An 18330-nucleotide genomic window follows, 5' to 3' on the forward strand; every position below is an offset into this window, starting at 1 on the left:
GTTTGTGACATAGGTAAGCATGTGCCATGGTGGTTTGCTGCACAGATCCAGCCATCCTGTAAGTACTGAGCCCAGGATTCATTAGCTATTATTCCTGATGCTCTACCTCCCCTCCCTCCACCAGGCCCAAGTGTGGGTTGTTCCCCACCATGCGTCCATGTGTTCTCACTGTTCAGCCCCCACTTATAAGTGAGAACGTGTGGTGTTTGGTTTTCTGTTCCTGCTTTAGTTTGCTGAGGATAATGGCTTCCAGCTCCACCCATGTCCCTGCAAAGGATATGATCTCATTCTTTTTAATGGCTGCATAGTATTCCATGGTGTATATGTACCACATTTTCTTTATCCAGTCTATCATTGATGGGCATTTGGGTTGATTCCATGTCTTTGCTTTTGTGACTAGGGCTGCAACGAATCTATGTGTGAATGTATCTTTGTAATAGAATGGTTTATATTCCTTTGGATGTATACCCGGTAATGGGATTGCTGGAAGACCCAGTTTTTAACTTCCCTGCAGTATTTAAGCATGTTGTTTATACTCTCCTCCTTGGCTTTGGGGTCCCCAGCCCCCATTGCTCTCCTAGCTCTCCAATCTTTCTTTCCACTTCTCCTGGATGAAACTTTGCCTCTGTCTCCCCACAAATACAAATGCTTCTGAGGGTTGCATCTGCAGACTTCGCACTCTATGTGCCCTGGGCCATGCAGTTTTCTCCGTATACCAAGAGTTCTCAATCCAACTGCACATTAGAATCATTTGAAAATTACCTATGCTGGGGTCCAGGATGGGCTATGTAACTAACTTGGCAGACCCAATGCAAAATGAAAACATGGGGCCCCTAGCTTGATTTCGGAAGATTATTAGGAATGTTAGTTGGTGACAGCAGAGACTGAAACCACGTGCAGGACCCTTCTGAAGCACCAGGCCCTGTGTGACTGAACAGATCCCCCAGACCCAATTAAATCAGTCTCTAGGACGGGATCCCAGGCATCATTAGTTTATAAAGCTCCCAATGTGATGCTAATGTTAGCGCAGGGCCAAGAAACACTGGTTTACGCCAATAACTCCCAAATCTATTACTATATTGCCAACCTAATCCTTCTTCTCCACGTATACAAAGTTATCTATCAGACATCTTCCCTTATACTCCAGAGGCTTCAACTTCAACATGTCAAATGTTGTTTTTTTTCCCCCTGCTGCCATTCTGCAAATCGGTTTGCTCTCCTGCATCCCACAGCTCAGACACTGGCTCTACCACCTAACCAGTCATTCAAGCCAGCAACCTGCGGGTCACTGAGACCCTCAGCTTATCCTCAGTGCCTGTATCCTACTGATCCAAGTCCTGTCAATTCCACCTCCTGGATAGTTACCCTCCAGCCCCTTCCTACCACTGCATAGCACTACGACTTAGCACAGACCCTCACCTTCTTCCACCTCGGCTATCCCAATGCCCTCCTTGCAACCCATCTTTCCTTCCCCATTACTTTCCAGAGACTCATCTTCACAGCATTCACATTCTACAGTGCCATCCATCTCCTAAAAACCTTTAGACATACAGAGCCTCCACGTGTTGGGGTCCGCCCATGTGGCATGCCCGTGATGGGGAATTTATCAGTGGTTTGTTGGTTCCCTATCAGTGGTTCCCTATCTAAGCACCTTAACAAGGACTAGAGGTCCTTTCAGGATAATGGCTCCTGCCAAACCCTTAATTTGCAATACCTGCTGGTTCACTTAGTAAATTCTGAAGAGTTTCTGGAACAGAATATTCTACTTTACATCTCTGCACATCTAGCTTCCTGTTACAGGAATTCCCCTCCCACTCCCACTCCCTTTCCCTAAGGCTCTTGCCTTTGTCCAGTGGCAGACTCTAATCCCCCAGGAGACCTGGCTCACACGTAACACCTCTTGCATGGTCTTCCAGGTATTGCAGGTTGTGTTATTCACTTCCTCTTCCAGACACTCACTCATTATGGTTTTCTGTCTCCAGGACTGTGGGCTGTGATCAACAATGCTGGGGTGCTTGGCTTTCCAACTGATGGGGAGCTTCTTCTTATGACTGACTACAAACAATGCATGGCCGTGAACTTCTTTGGAACTGTGGAGGTCACAAAGACGTTTTTGCCTCTTCTTAGAAAATCCAAAGGGAGGCTGGTGAATGTCAGCAGCATGGGAGGTGAGTCAGCATTTTCACACATGGTCATGGGGTGCCCATCACAAGACATGGCTCATGGCATTCTATGTGGGCGAACAAAAATGCAGGGCATGCAAAGGCAGGGTTGGGTCAGGATTAGTCAAATTGTATATACCCTGTTGGTCTTATCACAATAAAACCTTTCTCTTCTTTCAAATTCTTTCATGTAGAAACTCTTATCTGCCTTCTAACTCATCCATTTGTTACTGGGGATTTAGGGTTCTTATATGTCTTTATAATGTGACTGCCAACACACATGGTTGGTAGATTTGTACAGGAAATCTCACATTACAAATAATGTCAGCATTTCAGGCAACCTGTTTTCAACACTTCGTCAATTTAACACACTGTGTTCAGTTCCCTGTAAGCTGAGTAGGCAATACCTTCCCTCTGTTTGTGCCATCAAACAAAAGCTGCCTGCTATTGTTAACCCGAAGATTGTCCCCAGTGTTGAGCAGCCTCAATCCAGCTAGGTCAGGATGTGATGACACTGGATAGTTTGTCTCTCTCTGTTTCCAAGAACAAATAGTACACAACTTGAGTCAAGGGCTGAACAGTCTTGCCTTTTCATAAAAAATGCCCATGCGTGTCATAGCATGCCCTCTTTTCTGGGACAGACATTTTCAAACTGGGGTTCCTTGGGCTCTTGTTCAGTTTAGGGAAGATCCATCGACCTGACTTTTGGGTCACTGGGTCACTGCAGAGGTGAGAGGGAAGCCAAAGGGATGGGCTCTGGATCCTAGGATCCTGCCTTCAAATAGAGGAGTACCACTCTTCACTGTTGGATCAATTAATTCTAAGTAAAATTTCTTAAAATAAAGGGTATGACTATGCTGTTTTTGTTTGTTTGCTTGACTTTTGTGTTTTGTGCTTTTTTTGGTAATGTGAATATCAGTTCTAGAATGATTTGGTCAGGGAGGGGGTTCTTCGCATTTCCTAGACAAATATAGTTGTCCATCACATTCCCTTTCCTGGCTTTAACTCAGTAACTTTCTTAAAACTAACTGCTATGTGTCTTTGACTAGAGTCTTGGTTGGCCTGAGGCATAAACAAAGAAGAAGGTAGGGAGAGAGAGAGAGAGAGAAAGAGTTGGGGGAGACGAAGTGTCCTCTAGGATGGTTAGGAGCAATGAGTATTATATTTTAGCTGTGTGAGAACCCTAAAGTAGTTCCAATTTCCTGCTACCTTGCCAAAGCAAATGAATCCTGAGAAAACACACAGCAATATTTTCCTAATCTTTGTTCTGAACTTAGCCTTTACAATTTTGGCCTGTGTGGAAGCCTCACCTTTCTCATTTCCCTGGAATAGTCTGGTACTTCTGGGAACGTCTCACAGACTCTTTGCCTCACTTATATAATAAATATTTACTGAAATAACAGAGTACTGCCTCCTCCTTGGCACACTGACAAGGAGGTTTCTCTTTTTTTTCCTCTGTTCTCAACTTTGAGCAACACCTTCACTCATATGAGTTCACTTTAGTTATTGCCAAAATGTGCAGTATGTGCTGTAGGCCCAGTGTCTGGCATGCACCAGCAGCTCAGTTAATCAGTGAAGAAATGCAAGTGTATGAACGAGTGAAAAATGGAAAATGGATTAATGAATGGGTAAGTGAAAAGCTTACAGTACAAGGCCAGGTGCGGTGGCTCAAGGATGTAACTCCAGCACTTTGGAAGGCCAAGGCAGGAGGATTACTTCAGCCCAGGAGTTTGATACCAGCCTGGGCAACATAGTGAGACCTCGTCTGTACAAAAAAATTAAGAAAAAAACAAACAAACCAGGCATTGTGGCATGTGCCTGTAGTCCCAGCTACTCAGGAGGCTGAGGTGAATCTGTTGAGCCTGGGAGGTTAAGACTGCAGTAAGCTGTGTTCATGTCACTGTACTCTAGCCTGGGTGAGAGAGTGAGACGCTCTCTCAAAAAATAACTCACAATACAGAGCATAACCTTCCACATATCTTCAACTTGGCCTTTAAAGCTCTTTCCAAGCCAGAACTTCTTACTCTGTTGTCATGTATTTTCATTGAAGGGAAACTCTGAATGTTAAAATAAATAACATATCTCACTCTTTTATTATTATTATTATTAATTTTTTTTTTTGAGATGGAGTCTCACTCTGTCGCCCAGGCTGGAGTGCAGTGGCGCGATCTCGGCTCACTGCAAGCTCCGCCTCCCGGGTTCACGCCATTCTCCTGCCTCAGCCTCCCTAGTAGCTGGGACTACAGACGCCCCCACCACACCTAGCTAATTTTTTTGTATTTTTAGTATAGACGGGGTTTCACCGTGTTAGCCAGGAAGATCTCGATCTCCCGACCTCGTGATCTGCCCGCCTCAGCCCCCCAAAGTTCTGGGCATATCTCACTCTTATTCTCACCCTCTGGTTGTGCAAATTCATTACACCCAGCTATGTCCATCTATTTTCTTAAGATCATCACCAAGTTAACCCATCTGAAACAAAACTTGCTGTCAGCCCTCCAGAATGCCTAGGAATACAGCTAACTAGGGAGGTGAAAGATCTCCACAAGGAAGACTACAAAACACTGCTCAAAGAAATTGGAGATGACACAAACAAATGGAAAAAATCTCATGTTCATGGATAAGAAGAATCAATATAGTTAAAATGGCCACTCTGCCCAAAGCAATTTATAGATTCGATGCTATTCCTATTAAACTACCATTGAGGTTCTTCACAGAACTAGAAAAAAAGATTTAAAAATTAATATGGAACCAAAAAAGAACATGAATAGTCAAGGCACCACTAATCAAAAAGAACAAAGCTGGAGGCATCACACTACCTGAATTCAAACTATACTACAGGGCTACCTGTAAGCAAAACAGCATGGTCCTGTACAAAAGCAGATACAAAGGTCAATGGAACAGAACAGAGAACCCAGAAATAAAACAATACACCTACAACATCTAATCTTTGACAAACCTGAAAAAAACAAGCAATGGGGGTAAGGATTCCCTATTCAATAAACGATGCTGGGGTAACTGGCTAGCCATAGGCAGAACATTGTAACTGGACCCTGACTTCTTTCTGCCCTAGTCTTTTGAGTTTCAGATCTTTGAGTCATCTTGGATTTGTTTTTCCCCATGCCTCTCTCTTCTTTCTCCCACCCACTCACCAAGATGTATGAAGTTTTCGTTCATCACATCCAGTTTTGAATCTTCATGTCCTGGAGAAACTCTAGAAATGAGTTTATTTGTAGGACTCAGAAACCACCCAAGGTACTTTATAAAGCTACTAAAACAGTAACAAGAAATCAAGTAACAATATCAGAAGAGATGGGAGGCATATGTACTCAACAGGGCCGGGAGTTTGTGTAAAGACAGAAACAAAGCGCTGTCAAGATAGGAAAAAGATATTTCATGCAAATGGGAACCAAAAAGATCAGGAGTAGCTATACTTACATCAGGCAAAATAGATTTCAAGATCAAAACCGTAAAAAGAGACAAAGAAGGTCATTATATAGTCATAAAGGTGTTCATTCAGCATGAGGATATAACCATTGTAAATATACATGCACCCAACACCAGAGCACCCAGATGTATAAAGGAAATATTATTAGAACTAAACAGAGAGATAGACCTCAATACATTAGTAGCTGGAGGCTTCAATACTCCACTTTCAGCTTTGGATAGATCATCCAGGCAGAAAATCAATAAAGAAACATCAAACTTAATCTGCACTATAGACCAAATGGACCTAATTGTTATTTACAGAACACTTCATCCAAAGGCTGCAGAATATGCATTCTTCTCCTGAGCACATGGATCGTTCTCAAGGATAGACCATATGTTAGGCCACAAAACAAGTCTTAAAACATTTTAAAAAATGAAATAATATCAAGTATCTTCTCTGACCACAATGGACCAAAACTAGAAATAAAAGATAAGAGGAATTTTGGAAACTATATAAGCACATGGAAATTAAACAATATATTCCTGAGTGACCAGTAGGTCAATGAAAAAAATTAAGAAGGAAATTTAAAAATTTCTCAAATGATAAAGGAAATCAAACATACCAAAACCCATGGGATGTGGTGAAAGTAGTACTAAGAGGGAAGCTGGCTACCGGCTATAAGTGCCTACATTAAAAAAGTAGAAACACTTCAAGTAAAAAACCTAGTGATGCATCTCAAAAAACTAGAAAAGCAAGAGCAAACCAACCTCAAAATTAGTAGAAGAAAAGAAATCATAAATATTAGAGCAGAAATAAATAAAATTGAAAAGAAGAAGACAATACAAAAGATCAGCAAAATGAAAAGTTGGTTTCTGGAAAAGATAAACAAAATTGACAAACTTTTAATGAGACTAAGAACAAGACTAAGAACAAGACTAAGAACAAGAGAGAAGACCCAATAAAAATCAGAGATGACAAAGGAGACATTACAACCAATACCACAGAAACTCAAAAGATCATTAGAGGCTACTATGAGTAACTAAGTATATACCAATAAATTGGAGAACCTAGAAGAGATGGATAAATTCTTACAGAGAGCCTACCAAGATTGAACCATGAAGGAATCCATAACCTGAATGGATCAATAACAAGTAACGAGTTCGAAGCAGTAGTAAAAAGTCTGCAAGCAAAGAAAAGGCTGGGACCTCATGGCTTCACTGCTGAATTTTACCAAACTTTTAAAGAAGAACTAATACCGATTGTACTCGAGTATTCTGAAAAATAATGGTGGAGGGAATACTTCCAAACTCATCCTATGAGCCCTATATCATTCTGATAGCAAAACCAGAAAATACATGTTAAAAAAAAAAAAAAAAGAAAAGAAAACTACAGGCCAATATACCTCATGAACGTTGATGTAAAAATCCTTAACAAAATACTAGTAAACTGAATTCAACAGCGCATTAAAAAGATCATTTATCATGACTAAGTGGGATTTATCCTATGGATGCAGGGATTGTTCAACATTTACACAAATCAATCAGTGTGATACATAATCTCAACAGAATGAAGGACAAAACCATATGATCATTTCAATTGATTCTAAGAAAAGCATCTGATAAAATTCAACATCCCTTTATGATAAAAACCCTCAATTAAAAAAAAACTGTGTATAGAAGGAACACATCTCAACGTAACAAAAGCCATATACAATAGACCTATAGCTACTGTCATGCTGAATGGGAACAAACTGAAATCCTTTCCTCTAAGATCTAGAACACGACAAGGATGCCCACTTTCACCACTGTTATTCCACATAATACTGGAAATCCTGGCTAGTGCAAGCAGACAAAAGAAAGAAATAAAGAACATTCAAGCTGGAAAGGAAGAAGTTGAATTATCCTTGTTTGCAGATGATATGATCTTATATTTAGAATAAACTAAAGACTCCATCAAAAACAATTAAAACTGATAAACAAATTCAGTCAAGTTGCAGGATACGAAATCAACATACAAAAATCAGTAGCATGTACTTCTTTTTATTTTAGACAGAGTCTCGCTCTGTTGCCAGGCTGGAGTGCAGTGGCGTGATCTCGGCTCACTGCAGTCTCCACCTCCTGGATTTAGGTGATTCTTCTGCCTCAGCATCCCGAGTAGCTGGGACTACAGGTGTGCGCCACCATGCCCAGCTATTTTTTTGTGTGTGTTTTTAGTAGAGACAGGGTTTCATAATGTTGGCCAGGATGGTTTCGATCTCTTGACTTTGTGATTTGCCTGCCTCAGCCTCCCAAAAGGCTGGGATTACAGGCATTAGTATGCCAATAGCAAACAATCAGAAAGAGAAGTCAAGAAAGTAATCTCATTTACAATAGCTACAAATAAAATGAAATACCTGGGAATTAACCTAACCAGAGAAGTGAAAGATCTCTACAATGAAAATTATATAATATTGATGAAAGAAATTGAAGAGGACACAAAAGATTGAAAGATATTCCATGTCCATAGGTTGGAAAAATCAATATTGTTAAAACGTCCATACTATTCAAGGAAATCTATAGATTCAATGCAATCCATATCCAAATACCAATGACATTCTTCACAGAAATAGAAAAAGAAATCCTGAAATTTATATGGAACCACAAAAGACTCAGAAGAGCCAAAGATATCCTGAGCAGAAAGAACAAAACTGGAGGAATCACATTACCTGACTTCAGATTATACTACAGAGCCGTAGTAACCAAAACAGCATGGTACCAGCATGAAAACAGACATATAGACCAACAGAACAGGATAGAGAACCCAGAAATAAATCTACACATCTATGGTGAACTCATTTTCAACAAATGCAATAACATACACCAGGGAAAGGACAGTCTATTCAATAAATGGTGCTGAGAAAACTCAGCCAGGTGCTGTGGCTCATGCCTGTAATCCCAGCACACAGGGAGGTCAGGTGGATTGCTTGAGTCCAGGAGTTCAAAACCAGCCTGGGCAACATGGCAAAACCATGTCTCTACAAAAAATACAAAAAATTAGCCAGGCATGGTGGCATGTGCCTGTAGTCCTAGCTACTCAGGAGGCTGAAGTGGGTGGATCACTTGAGCTCAGGGAGATAGAGGCTGCAGCAGACTGTGATCACACCATTGCACTCCAGCCTGGATGACAGAGTGAGACCCTGTTTCAAAAGAAAGAAAGAAAGAAGAAAGAAAGAAAAGAAAGAAAGAAAGGAAGGAAGGAAGAAAGGAAGAAAAGAAAAGAAAAGAAAAGAAAGAAAAAACAAACTGGATACCATATGCAGAAGGATGAAACTAGATCCCTGTCTCTTACCATATAAAAAAATCAAATCAAAATGGATTCGATACTTAAATCTAAGACCTCAAACTGTGAAACTATTGTACTATAAGAAAACATTAGGGAAACTCTCCAGGACACTGGAATTGGCAAAGATTTCTTGAGTAACACCCAACAAGCACAGGCAAATGAGATCACATCAAGTTAAAAAGCTTCTGCACAGTGAAAGATACAATCAACAAAGTGAAGAGACAACCCACAGAATGGGAGAAAATATCTGCAAACTAGCCATTTGACAAAGACTTAATAACCAGAAAATATAAGGAGCTCAAACAACTCTACAGGAAAAAATCAAATAATCTCATTTAAAATGTACAAAAGATCTGAATAGGCATTTCTCAAAAGAAGATAAGACATACAAATAGCAAACAAGCATATGAAAATGTGCTCAATATCATTGATCATCAGAGAAATGCAAATCAAAACTACAGTGAGATATGATCTCACCCCAGGTAAAATGGCTTTCATCCAAAAGTCAGGCAATAACAAATCCTGGTAAGGATGTGGAGAAAGAGAACCCTTGTACACTGTTCATGGGGATGTAAATTAGTACAATTGCTATGGAGAATAGCTCTAAAAATAGAGCCACCATATTATCCAGCAATTCCACCGCTAGATATGTACCCAAAAGAAGGGAAATCAGTATATCAAAGAGATATCTGCAGTCCTATGTGTGTTGCAGCACTGTTCACTATAGCCAAGATTTGGAAGTAACCTAAGTGTCCATCAACAGATGAGTGGATAAAGAAAATGTGGTACATATACACACAATGGAGTACTATTCAGCCATGTAAAAGAATGAGATATTGTCATCTGCAATAACATGGATGGAACTGGAAGTCATTATGTTAAGTGAAATAACATAATGAGCATAAAGACAAACTTCACATGTTCTCACTTATTTGTGGGAGCTAAAAATTAAAACAATTGAACTCATGGAGATAGAGTAGAAGGATGGTTACCAGAGGCTGGGAAGAGTAGTGGAGAGGACTAAGGAGGGGGAAGTAGGAATGGTTAATGGGTACAAAAAATAGAACGAATGAATAAGATGTACTATTTGATAGCACAACAGAGTGACAATAGTCAATAATAATTTAATTGTGCATTTAAAAATAACTAAAAGAGCATAAATGGATTGTGTGCAACACAAAGGATAAATGCTTAAGGTGATGGAGACTCCATTTGCCCTGATGTGATTATTATGTATTGCATGCTTGTATCAAAACACCTCATGTAGCACATAAATATATACACCAACTATGTTCCCACAAAATATTAAACATTAAAAAAAAAGAAACAAAGCTCTGAAATGATCGATTTTCCTCTGTGTTAGTTTGCTAGGGCTACCATAAGAAAATACCACAGACAAGGTGTCTTCAGAAAACAGAAATTCCTTTTCTCACAGTTGTGGAGGCTGGAAGTCGAAGACCAAGGTGTCGGCAGGGTTGGTTTCTCCTGAGCTCTCTCTCCTCGGCTTTCAGATGACTACCTTTTTGCTGTGTCCTCACATGGTCATCTCTCTGTCTGTTGCACCCCTGGTGTCTCTTCCTCTTCTTATAAGAATGGCAGTCATACTGAATTAGGGCACCACTCTTATGATCCCGTTTAACCCTAATCATCTTTTTAAAGGTTCTATCTTCAAATGCAGTCACGTTCCAAGATACTGGAGGTTAGTACTGCCACATACAAACTTTTCTGGGTGGTGGGGGGAGCAATTCAGTCCATAACACTGTAATTGATAAGGGACAGGGGAATTCAGCAGAGAACACAGTGAGGGGCTCTCTAGCACTTACTGGAGAGTTTTGTGAAACAATAGAAAAGATTTTGAGCCGGAAAAGAAAAAGCTAGAATGTAACACAAGGATTAGAAAAGTCAAAGTATGTGTAAAAGGCAATATATAACCAACAAATCCACAGAAATTAACATCCAATGTGATGCTGACTTGTTGATATATCTTTGGCAAAATCAATGTAATAGTAACTTTGGAAACATGCTTATCTGGGAGTTCATTGCTGTTATTTTCATTTTGAAGCAAGGTGCATGGAGGGAGAGAAGCAGTCAGTCACTAATAAGGGCTCCAGAAGAAGCACGTGGTTGCCCTGACCCACCAGATTGTCTTGAGTCTGGCACCTCTGTCACCTTCTGAGTGACAAGAATTTTGGTGGCATAGATTTATCATGGAACTTTGCACCAGCCAGGAAAAACTGAGCTGGAATTGATGACTCTGTTCCAGTTATTCATTGCTGCAGAGTAAATAACCCTGAAGAAACTATCTCAGGCTGTTGTGAGTAGGCAGCTGGTCTGGGAGGCAGAATAATGGGTCCCCAGAAACATACACGTCCCATTGTCTGCAACCTGTGAGCCTGTTACCTCACGTGGCAAATGGTACTGTGCACATGTGATTGAGTGAAGGATCTTGAGATGAGGAGGTTATCCTGGATATTCTGGATGAATCTGATGCAATCACAAGGGTCCTTATAAGAAAGAGGCATGAGGGTCAGAGTCAGAGAGAAACTGGAAGATGGTACCTAGGTGGCTTTGAAGATAGAGGAAGGGGCCAGAAACCAAGGAATGCAGGTGGCTTCTAGAAGCTGGAAAAGTCAAGGGAACTAGTTCTCCCCTAGAGCCTCCAGAAGGAGCATGACCCTGCTGACTCCTTGATTTTATCATAAGATAATAAATTTGTAATGTTTAAGCCACTAGGTTTGTAGTAATTTGTTACAGCAGCTGTGGGAAAATAATGTGTCTGGTTTGACTTTAAACGAGCTCCAATTTATAACAAATCACATGCACCTAATTACCGATTCCAAACATTTTTCTTTTTTCTCCTCAAATTTAAACTTCATTCCTCCCAATCTCATGTAATTCAGGTCTCCATGAACACTTTCTCCTCATTCTTTACACCATGTTGAAGGAACGCTTAGCACTTTATCGCATTCCAAAAAGGCAGAGTCAATCAAACAGATTTTACTAGAGATTCCATATATCACAAAGCACTATTTAATGCAAATTCCCTTCAGATTTTTGTGGTTGTTGTTGTTTTTGTTTTTTTTGTTTTTCCTCCTTCCGAAGGTCTTCAGTTGCCAGCCACCTCACCTCTGGTTACTTCCCCCTCCCTGTCCTTTCTGGCTCCCAAATCTCCCTGGTTTCTTTCCTCATCTTTCCCTCTCCTTCCTTCTCCCATAACCAGCACGTTCATATCACATCCATCTACTCTTAGCTGCTCAATAAACTAAGCACTTCCATTGGATCTGCCCTCCTTGGAAGGCAAGAGGTGTGCAGAATAGAAGAAAAAATTATTGCAAATTGTGTTTGCTGTTTATTTGTCTGCTCTATTCCCTCCCTCTCTGAAACTCTCAGAAGCAAACTGAAGCTGTTCCCGCATGAACTTCCCTAAATTCTCCTCTCTCCTTCTGTTGTCACTCATTCTCCTCTTCAACCTTTCCTCCTTCCTCCTCCCCACTAACTCCTTCTCTCTCCCTGGGCCTTTCATTCTACCCCAGGCTATGCTCTAAGGATGATTCCTCCCCAGACTCTCAATACTTTTCTCTTTGATCTGGGCTGGCAGCCAGGAGGGTGGGGCTCTCCTCTTCACTGCCTGGTTGGGTGACACTCCTGGAAAACCCGAGGTCCTATAGCCTCTCTAAGCTCCACTTTTGTCCCTGTAAAGTGGAGGCAATAAGAGTGGACAAATAAGCAGAGGAAATATGACCACATAGGAGCGTTCTGAGGCTTAAATAAAATAATTCTCACAAAGTTCTTAGCATAGCTGCTTATGTGTAGTATGTCTTCCCTGAAGGTTATGAGTTATTACTATTTTTATTAATGGACACTGCCCCGCACTTCTTTATTTTTAAAATTAATTTTAGCTTTTATTTTAAGTTCTGGGGTACATGTGTGTTCCATTGCAGCACTATTCACAATAGCAAAGACACAGAATCAACCCAATTGCCCATCGATGATAGATTAGATAAAGAAAATGTGGTACATATGCAGCATGGAATACTACACAGGCATAAAAAGGAATGAGATCATATCCTTTGCAGGGACACGGATGGAGCTGGAAGCCATTATCCTCAGCAACCTAACGCAGGAACAGAAAACCAAATACCACATGTCCTCACTTGTAAGTGGGAGCTGAACAATAAGAGCTTCTTTACCCCTTTTTCCCTGAGCTCCTTCAAAAGTTAGGTGACTTGCAGCCTCTACTTCTTGGCAACCTCATTAACCCATTAAAGTTTGGCTCCTTTGTTTTCCGTTAAAGACTGCTCAGTTCCCTGTGCCCACTGGCCACTTCTTATCCTCCTTGCTGTCTCTATCAGGCAGAATTTCCACACCTTCTCCTGACCTTCTATCTGCTTGTCCAGCCTCAGTGAGAAGTTCCATGTGCCTCTCATTTGGGCAGAGGTAGCCAGAGTTGGAATGTACACATTGCTTAAAAGGATGTTTGCCTGAAAGTTCAAACTCCCAAAATGTCCTCTTCAATAGGTTTCTTTGCAGCTTTTTGAATATGCATATGAATATAACCACATTTTAAAAATCCATTCATCAGTTGATGGACATTTAGGTTCTTTCCAACTTTTGACTATTATGAATAATGCTTCTCTGAATATTTTTTGTACAAGCTTTTGTGTGGACACTATAAATTTTATGTAAGTGTTAGCTATTATTTCTATCACTTTCTGTGTCCTTGGGAAAGTCACTTAAACCCTATACACTTTAGTGTTTTCATTTTTAAAAATGAGGTTCCTGAGGATAATACTAGAATCTACCTCCTATGACAGTTGTGACCATTAAATACATTCAGAGCTGATGTTAAAACGCTCAGAACAGTGCTTGGCATATAGTAGACACCTAATAAACATTAAGAGTTATTATGAAGGATCCATTACATTTCAGGCATTTGTTGAATGCTCTCAGGTATATGACCCCAATAACCTATGTAATGTTGCTATTCTCATTTTTCAGTTATAAAAACCAAGGTCAGAAGGGTTCAGTGACTGGCCTGTAAGCTAGAACTTGAACTTGAACTTTAGTTTCATGTTCTGACTCACCAAGCCACCTCCTTCCCTGGTGACTCAGTGTAAACATATGTTACCACCACATCAAACACTAAGTCAAAGGGTCTCAGATGCTCTTCCCAGTGGTACCTTATTGACCATTTTTTGCTTTCTACTAGCTCCACTGTTAGATGCTTGTTCCAGCCCAACTCCCATTCTTGTGTGGAAATAAAGTCAACATAACCCATGTCTTCTAAATACACTCCTACGGGTGGGAAGTTCCAGGAGTGGGATGGGGAGAAACATTACTTCTTTAAGTTCTTCTCTAAGAAATGCAATCTAGAGTCAACCATGTCCTTCCCTCCGGTGTCCTTCCCTCCTACATCTTCCATCCCTAAAGAAAGGAACATGAAAGGGAAAGAGTAAAAGACATCATGTAGGAATACAGGTAAGAATCTTCTAGGATGCCAGGCAAGCAGAATGAAGACAGACTGCCCGGGTTTTAATCCGGTCTCTACCAATGACAACTGCGTGACCTTGGGAACAGTTCTGAACCTCTGAGTTGCAGCCTCCTCATTATAAGATAAGGATAATAGTAATTGCTTCTTCTGGGGTCCATGGAGAGATGAGATGAAATAACACATGTTTAAGCATCAGTCTTGTGCTTGGCATGCAGTGAATGGTCCAGTAGCATTAGCGACCCAAAAACCATCCCACCATGAGGATCTGGGGCAGCAGCTGACAGTCTGTATGCTTGCAGCTTCTTAATCTGCCAGCTGCTGGTATCACCACCTCTGACTGTGACACCGAATTACCCTTCATCCTCTGCCCCGTCACTTACTAGCTCCTGAGGAGATGACCCCAACAGGTAACTCCTTCCAGATTTGACCATGTCTACTACAGGAGACTTTTCCCCATTGTAATAACATGTTGATTATCCCTCCCACATAAATAGCATAGCTCTTTAACCCAAATCCCAGCAAGGCAGTTGGATAAATATTTAACCAAGTATCAGAGGCATGGGAGGCAACTCTGATGGTACAAAGAGCAGTTGGAAAATCTTTCTCTTTGAGGCCTAAAGTCGCCAGTTTTGCTCTTCAGAAATGTTCGCATAAACACTTGTGTGCAATTGCATGCTATGCTCAAAAACAAGCCCTGCTAAAATGACCCAGGCCTCAGAGATTTTGTGTCATTGTGGCTTAAATCTTGCTCTTCGGTTACTAGCTGGGTGACCTGGGTCAGGTCACCTTACTTGTCATGTCTCTATCTTCAAATGAGGGTCATGTAGCACCTGAGTCCAGGGCAATATTTCTCAACCTTGGCACTACTGGCATTTTGGTGGGGAGAATTCTTTCTGTAAGGGCACTGTCCTGTGCATTACGGGGTGTTTAACAGCATATGTGTCCTTGACCCACTAGATAATAGTAGCACCCACCCCTAATTGTGACACGTCTTCAGATATTTCCCATGATCTTTGGGGTGCAAAATCACCCCCAGTTGAAAACCTCTGATCTTGGCTGCAGATTTAAATGAACCATGGGTTTTGAGTGCTTAGCACAGTTACTGGTATATAGGAAATATCCAAGTAAAAGGGACCTCTCAACGGAGAGAGAGTAATCACAGTTGCCTGCCACATCAAACTGTTCTTTTTATTATTATTTTTTTTATTTTTTTACCTAGAATTAGAGGAAGTGGAAAACAATTCTAATTGTACAAAGGACAGTTGGAAAATTGTTCTGTTTGAGGCCCAAAACCTTTCTCGGGCCAGTTTTCCTCCAGAAATCGCAGAGTAAACACCTGTGTATAATTGCATGCTATGCTTGAATAAGAAGAGTTGAAGATAAACCCCTCTAAAACAGGTCTCCCTCTGGTGCCCAGGTTGGAGTGCAGTGGCACGATAGTAGCTCTCTATAACCTTGAACTCTTGGGCTCAAGCGATCCTCCCACTTCAGTCTCCTGAGTAGCTGGGAATACAGGCACATGCCATCACATCTGCTAATTTATTTTTGCCATGGGGTCTCACTTTGTTGCCTAGGACGGTCTTGAACTCCTGGCCTCAAACAATCCTCTTGTCTTGGCCTCCCAATGTATTGGGATCATAGGCATGAGCTACTGAGGCCGTCCCAAGCTATTTAAAATACTTCAGAATTACTTTATACCAAAGCAAGCAATCTTAGAGATTCTTACAAGTCTACAAATTAAAAGATCTAGAAGAGTTCACAGTTTCAGCCTTGAGTTCTGTCTCAGTCCAGACTGTGGGATCATTCCTGGACTTTTCCTTGCTGAGCCAGCTGCCTTAAAAGAATCATTTGGCAAGTCATTCAGCCAGTCTCTCAGCTGCTCAGTGGCAAGATGGGAAGCCTAGGCTGAGATTTTCTTCCCTGACACTCTTTAGGGAGATTGTGGGACAAGGGGGAAAGTGGGTAGAGCAAGACTGAGTGAACCTCCTCATGCTGGGTTGTGTGAGAGATTTACATGCCTATAGTCAATTCATTCTAACATCCACAGAATGCAGATATTAATTAATTTTCTAGATCAAGCACTCTGTAACCCAAGTTTGTGTAACTGGTAAGTGATAAAGTCAGGATATGAACCGGGATCTGTTTTACTCCAAGTACTATGTGCTTTCTACTTTTCCAGGCTGTTAAGCAAGAACATGTCAGACAAGGAGGGGCATAAAAAAAAAAACCCTAACTCTGTTCTGTTTAAATGGTAATCAGGAAGTGTTGGCAATTTAGGGCTGTCTCTTACTCCATTGCTTCTCAACACTGACATATGTGGGTATCACTTGGAGATCTTGCTAAAAGGCAGAATCTGACTGGGTTGGTCTGGGTGGAGCCTAAGATTCTGCATGTCTATAACTAGTTCCTGAGTGATGTTGGCGGTACTAATCCCCGGACCACATTTTCAAGCTTGAGATGCATCAGAATCACCGGAGGGCTTCTAAATACACAATTGCTAGAAATCAAAACCTCAATAAGATAACATACCCCCTAAAATGGCCGTAATGAAAAACCACCATAATATAATATACACCCTAAGATGGCTATAATAAAAAAAAAACACACAGAAAAAACACATGTTGGTGAGAATGTGGAGAAATTGGAACCCTCTTATACTACTGGTAGAAATATAAAATGGTTCAGCAGATGTGGAAAACATTTGGCAGTTCCCCAGTAAGTTAAACTTAGAATTACTGTGTGACCTAGCAATTCTACTCCTGGGTGTATATGTAAGAGATAGAAAAGAGGTGTTCAAACAAAAACTCACTCATACATAGATGGGCATAGCAACATTATTCACAATAGCCAAAGGTAGAAACAACTTAAGAATACATAAAAGGATCACTGGCTAAATAAAATGTGGCATATCCATATAAAGGAATATTTTTCAGCTTTACAAAGAGTGAAGTACTGATACACGCTACAACATGAATGAACCTTGAAAACATGATGCTAAGTACACATACGGTGGGGAGAGAGAGGGTCTTCACAATTCTTTTGTAAGCTTCAGAATGGTAACTTCAAGTCCCTTATTTTTAGCCTACTGTCAACAATATATCACAATGTAAAGGAAATAAAATGACCACCAGAATAATCAACAAAGTGAATGCTGAATTTATTCCCCTGCCAGGTAAGGGAACACAGCCCAGGGAACAAATTGACTGAATAGTTCACAGAGGCATTCGGGGGAATATGACTTAGAAGAGGGGATGATTTTTCGTGCCTATGCTAAGTAAGGATAGAAAGGGTGCAGTCTACGTCTAGGAAGAGTGGAAAGAGTCCATAGTTCTGTACATTATTGATTAAGGCAGGTCTTGTTGTTGACTACGTATGTCAGTCTGCTCAGACTGTCACAATAAAATATCACAAATCGTGTGGCCTAAACAACACAAATTTATTTTCTCACAGTTATGCAGTTTAGAAGTCCCAGATCAGCATGCCAGCATGGTTGGTTTTCTGGTGAGGGCTCTCTTCCTGGTTTACAGACAACTACCTTCTTGCTGTGTCCTCACATAGCCCTTCCTTGGTGCATGTTCAAGGAGAGAGTGTGAGGTGTCTGGTGTTTCTTCTTATAAGGACACTAATTCTGTTGGATCAAGGGCCTCATCTTTCTGATCTCATTTAACTTTACTTTTTTAGAGTCCTCATTTCCAAATACAGCTATCTTGAGGATTAGGGCTTTGAGATAGGAATTTTTGGGAAACACAAACATTAAGTCCATAACAAGGTGTGTTCTCTTAAGTTACCTAATGTTAGGTTATTCAAAGTGTCTGAGTAATGCAAGAGGAATAAGTTACATAGATCTGCTATACAACATTGTGCCAATAGTTAACAAAGCTGTATAGCACACTTAAAAAATATGTTAAAAAAGTAGAATTCACATTAAG

General features: G+C 40.8%; 1 protein-coding gene across 2 annotated transcripts in view, besides 1 other annotated feature; it reads left to right on the top strand.

Annotated features, from left to right (window-relative positions):
* HSD17B2 (hydroxysteroid 17-beta dehydrogenase 2) overlaps positions 1-18330 on the top strand; it is a 63282-nt gene that overhangs the window by 33707 nt on the left and 11245 nt on the right. For both annotated transcript variants that reach the window (NM_002153.3, XM_047434049.1), the window contains exon 3: positions 1983-2168. In NM_002153.3, coding sequence (NP_002144.1) covers positions 1983-2168 — 186 coding nt within the window. The remainder of the gene's footprint in view (positions 1-1982; positions 2169-18330) is intronic.
* Positions 1411-2610: an enhancer, noted in NCBI's record as "MED14-independent group 3 enhancer chr16:82103975-82105174 (GRCh37/hg19 assembly coordinates)". NCBI's record gives its function as "activates an origin of replication core promoter dependent on BRD2, BRD4, P300/CBP and CDK7 cofactors, and independent of MED14, by STARR-seq in HCT116 cells {active_cell/tissue: HCT116}" and the evidence as "EXISTENCE:reporter gene assay evidence [ECO:0000049][PMID:35650434]".

The sequence above is a fragment of the Homo sapiens genome, chromosome 16, assembly GCF_000001405.40.
Source record: "Homo sapiens chromosome 16, GRCh38.p14 Primary Assembly".
NCBI lineage: Eukaryota > Metazoa > Chordata > Mammalia > Primates > Hominidae > Homo > Homo sapiens.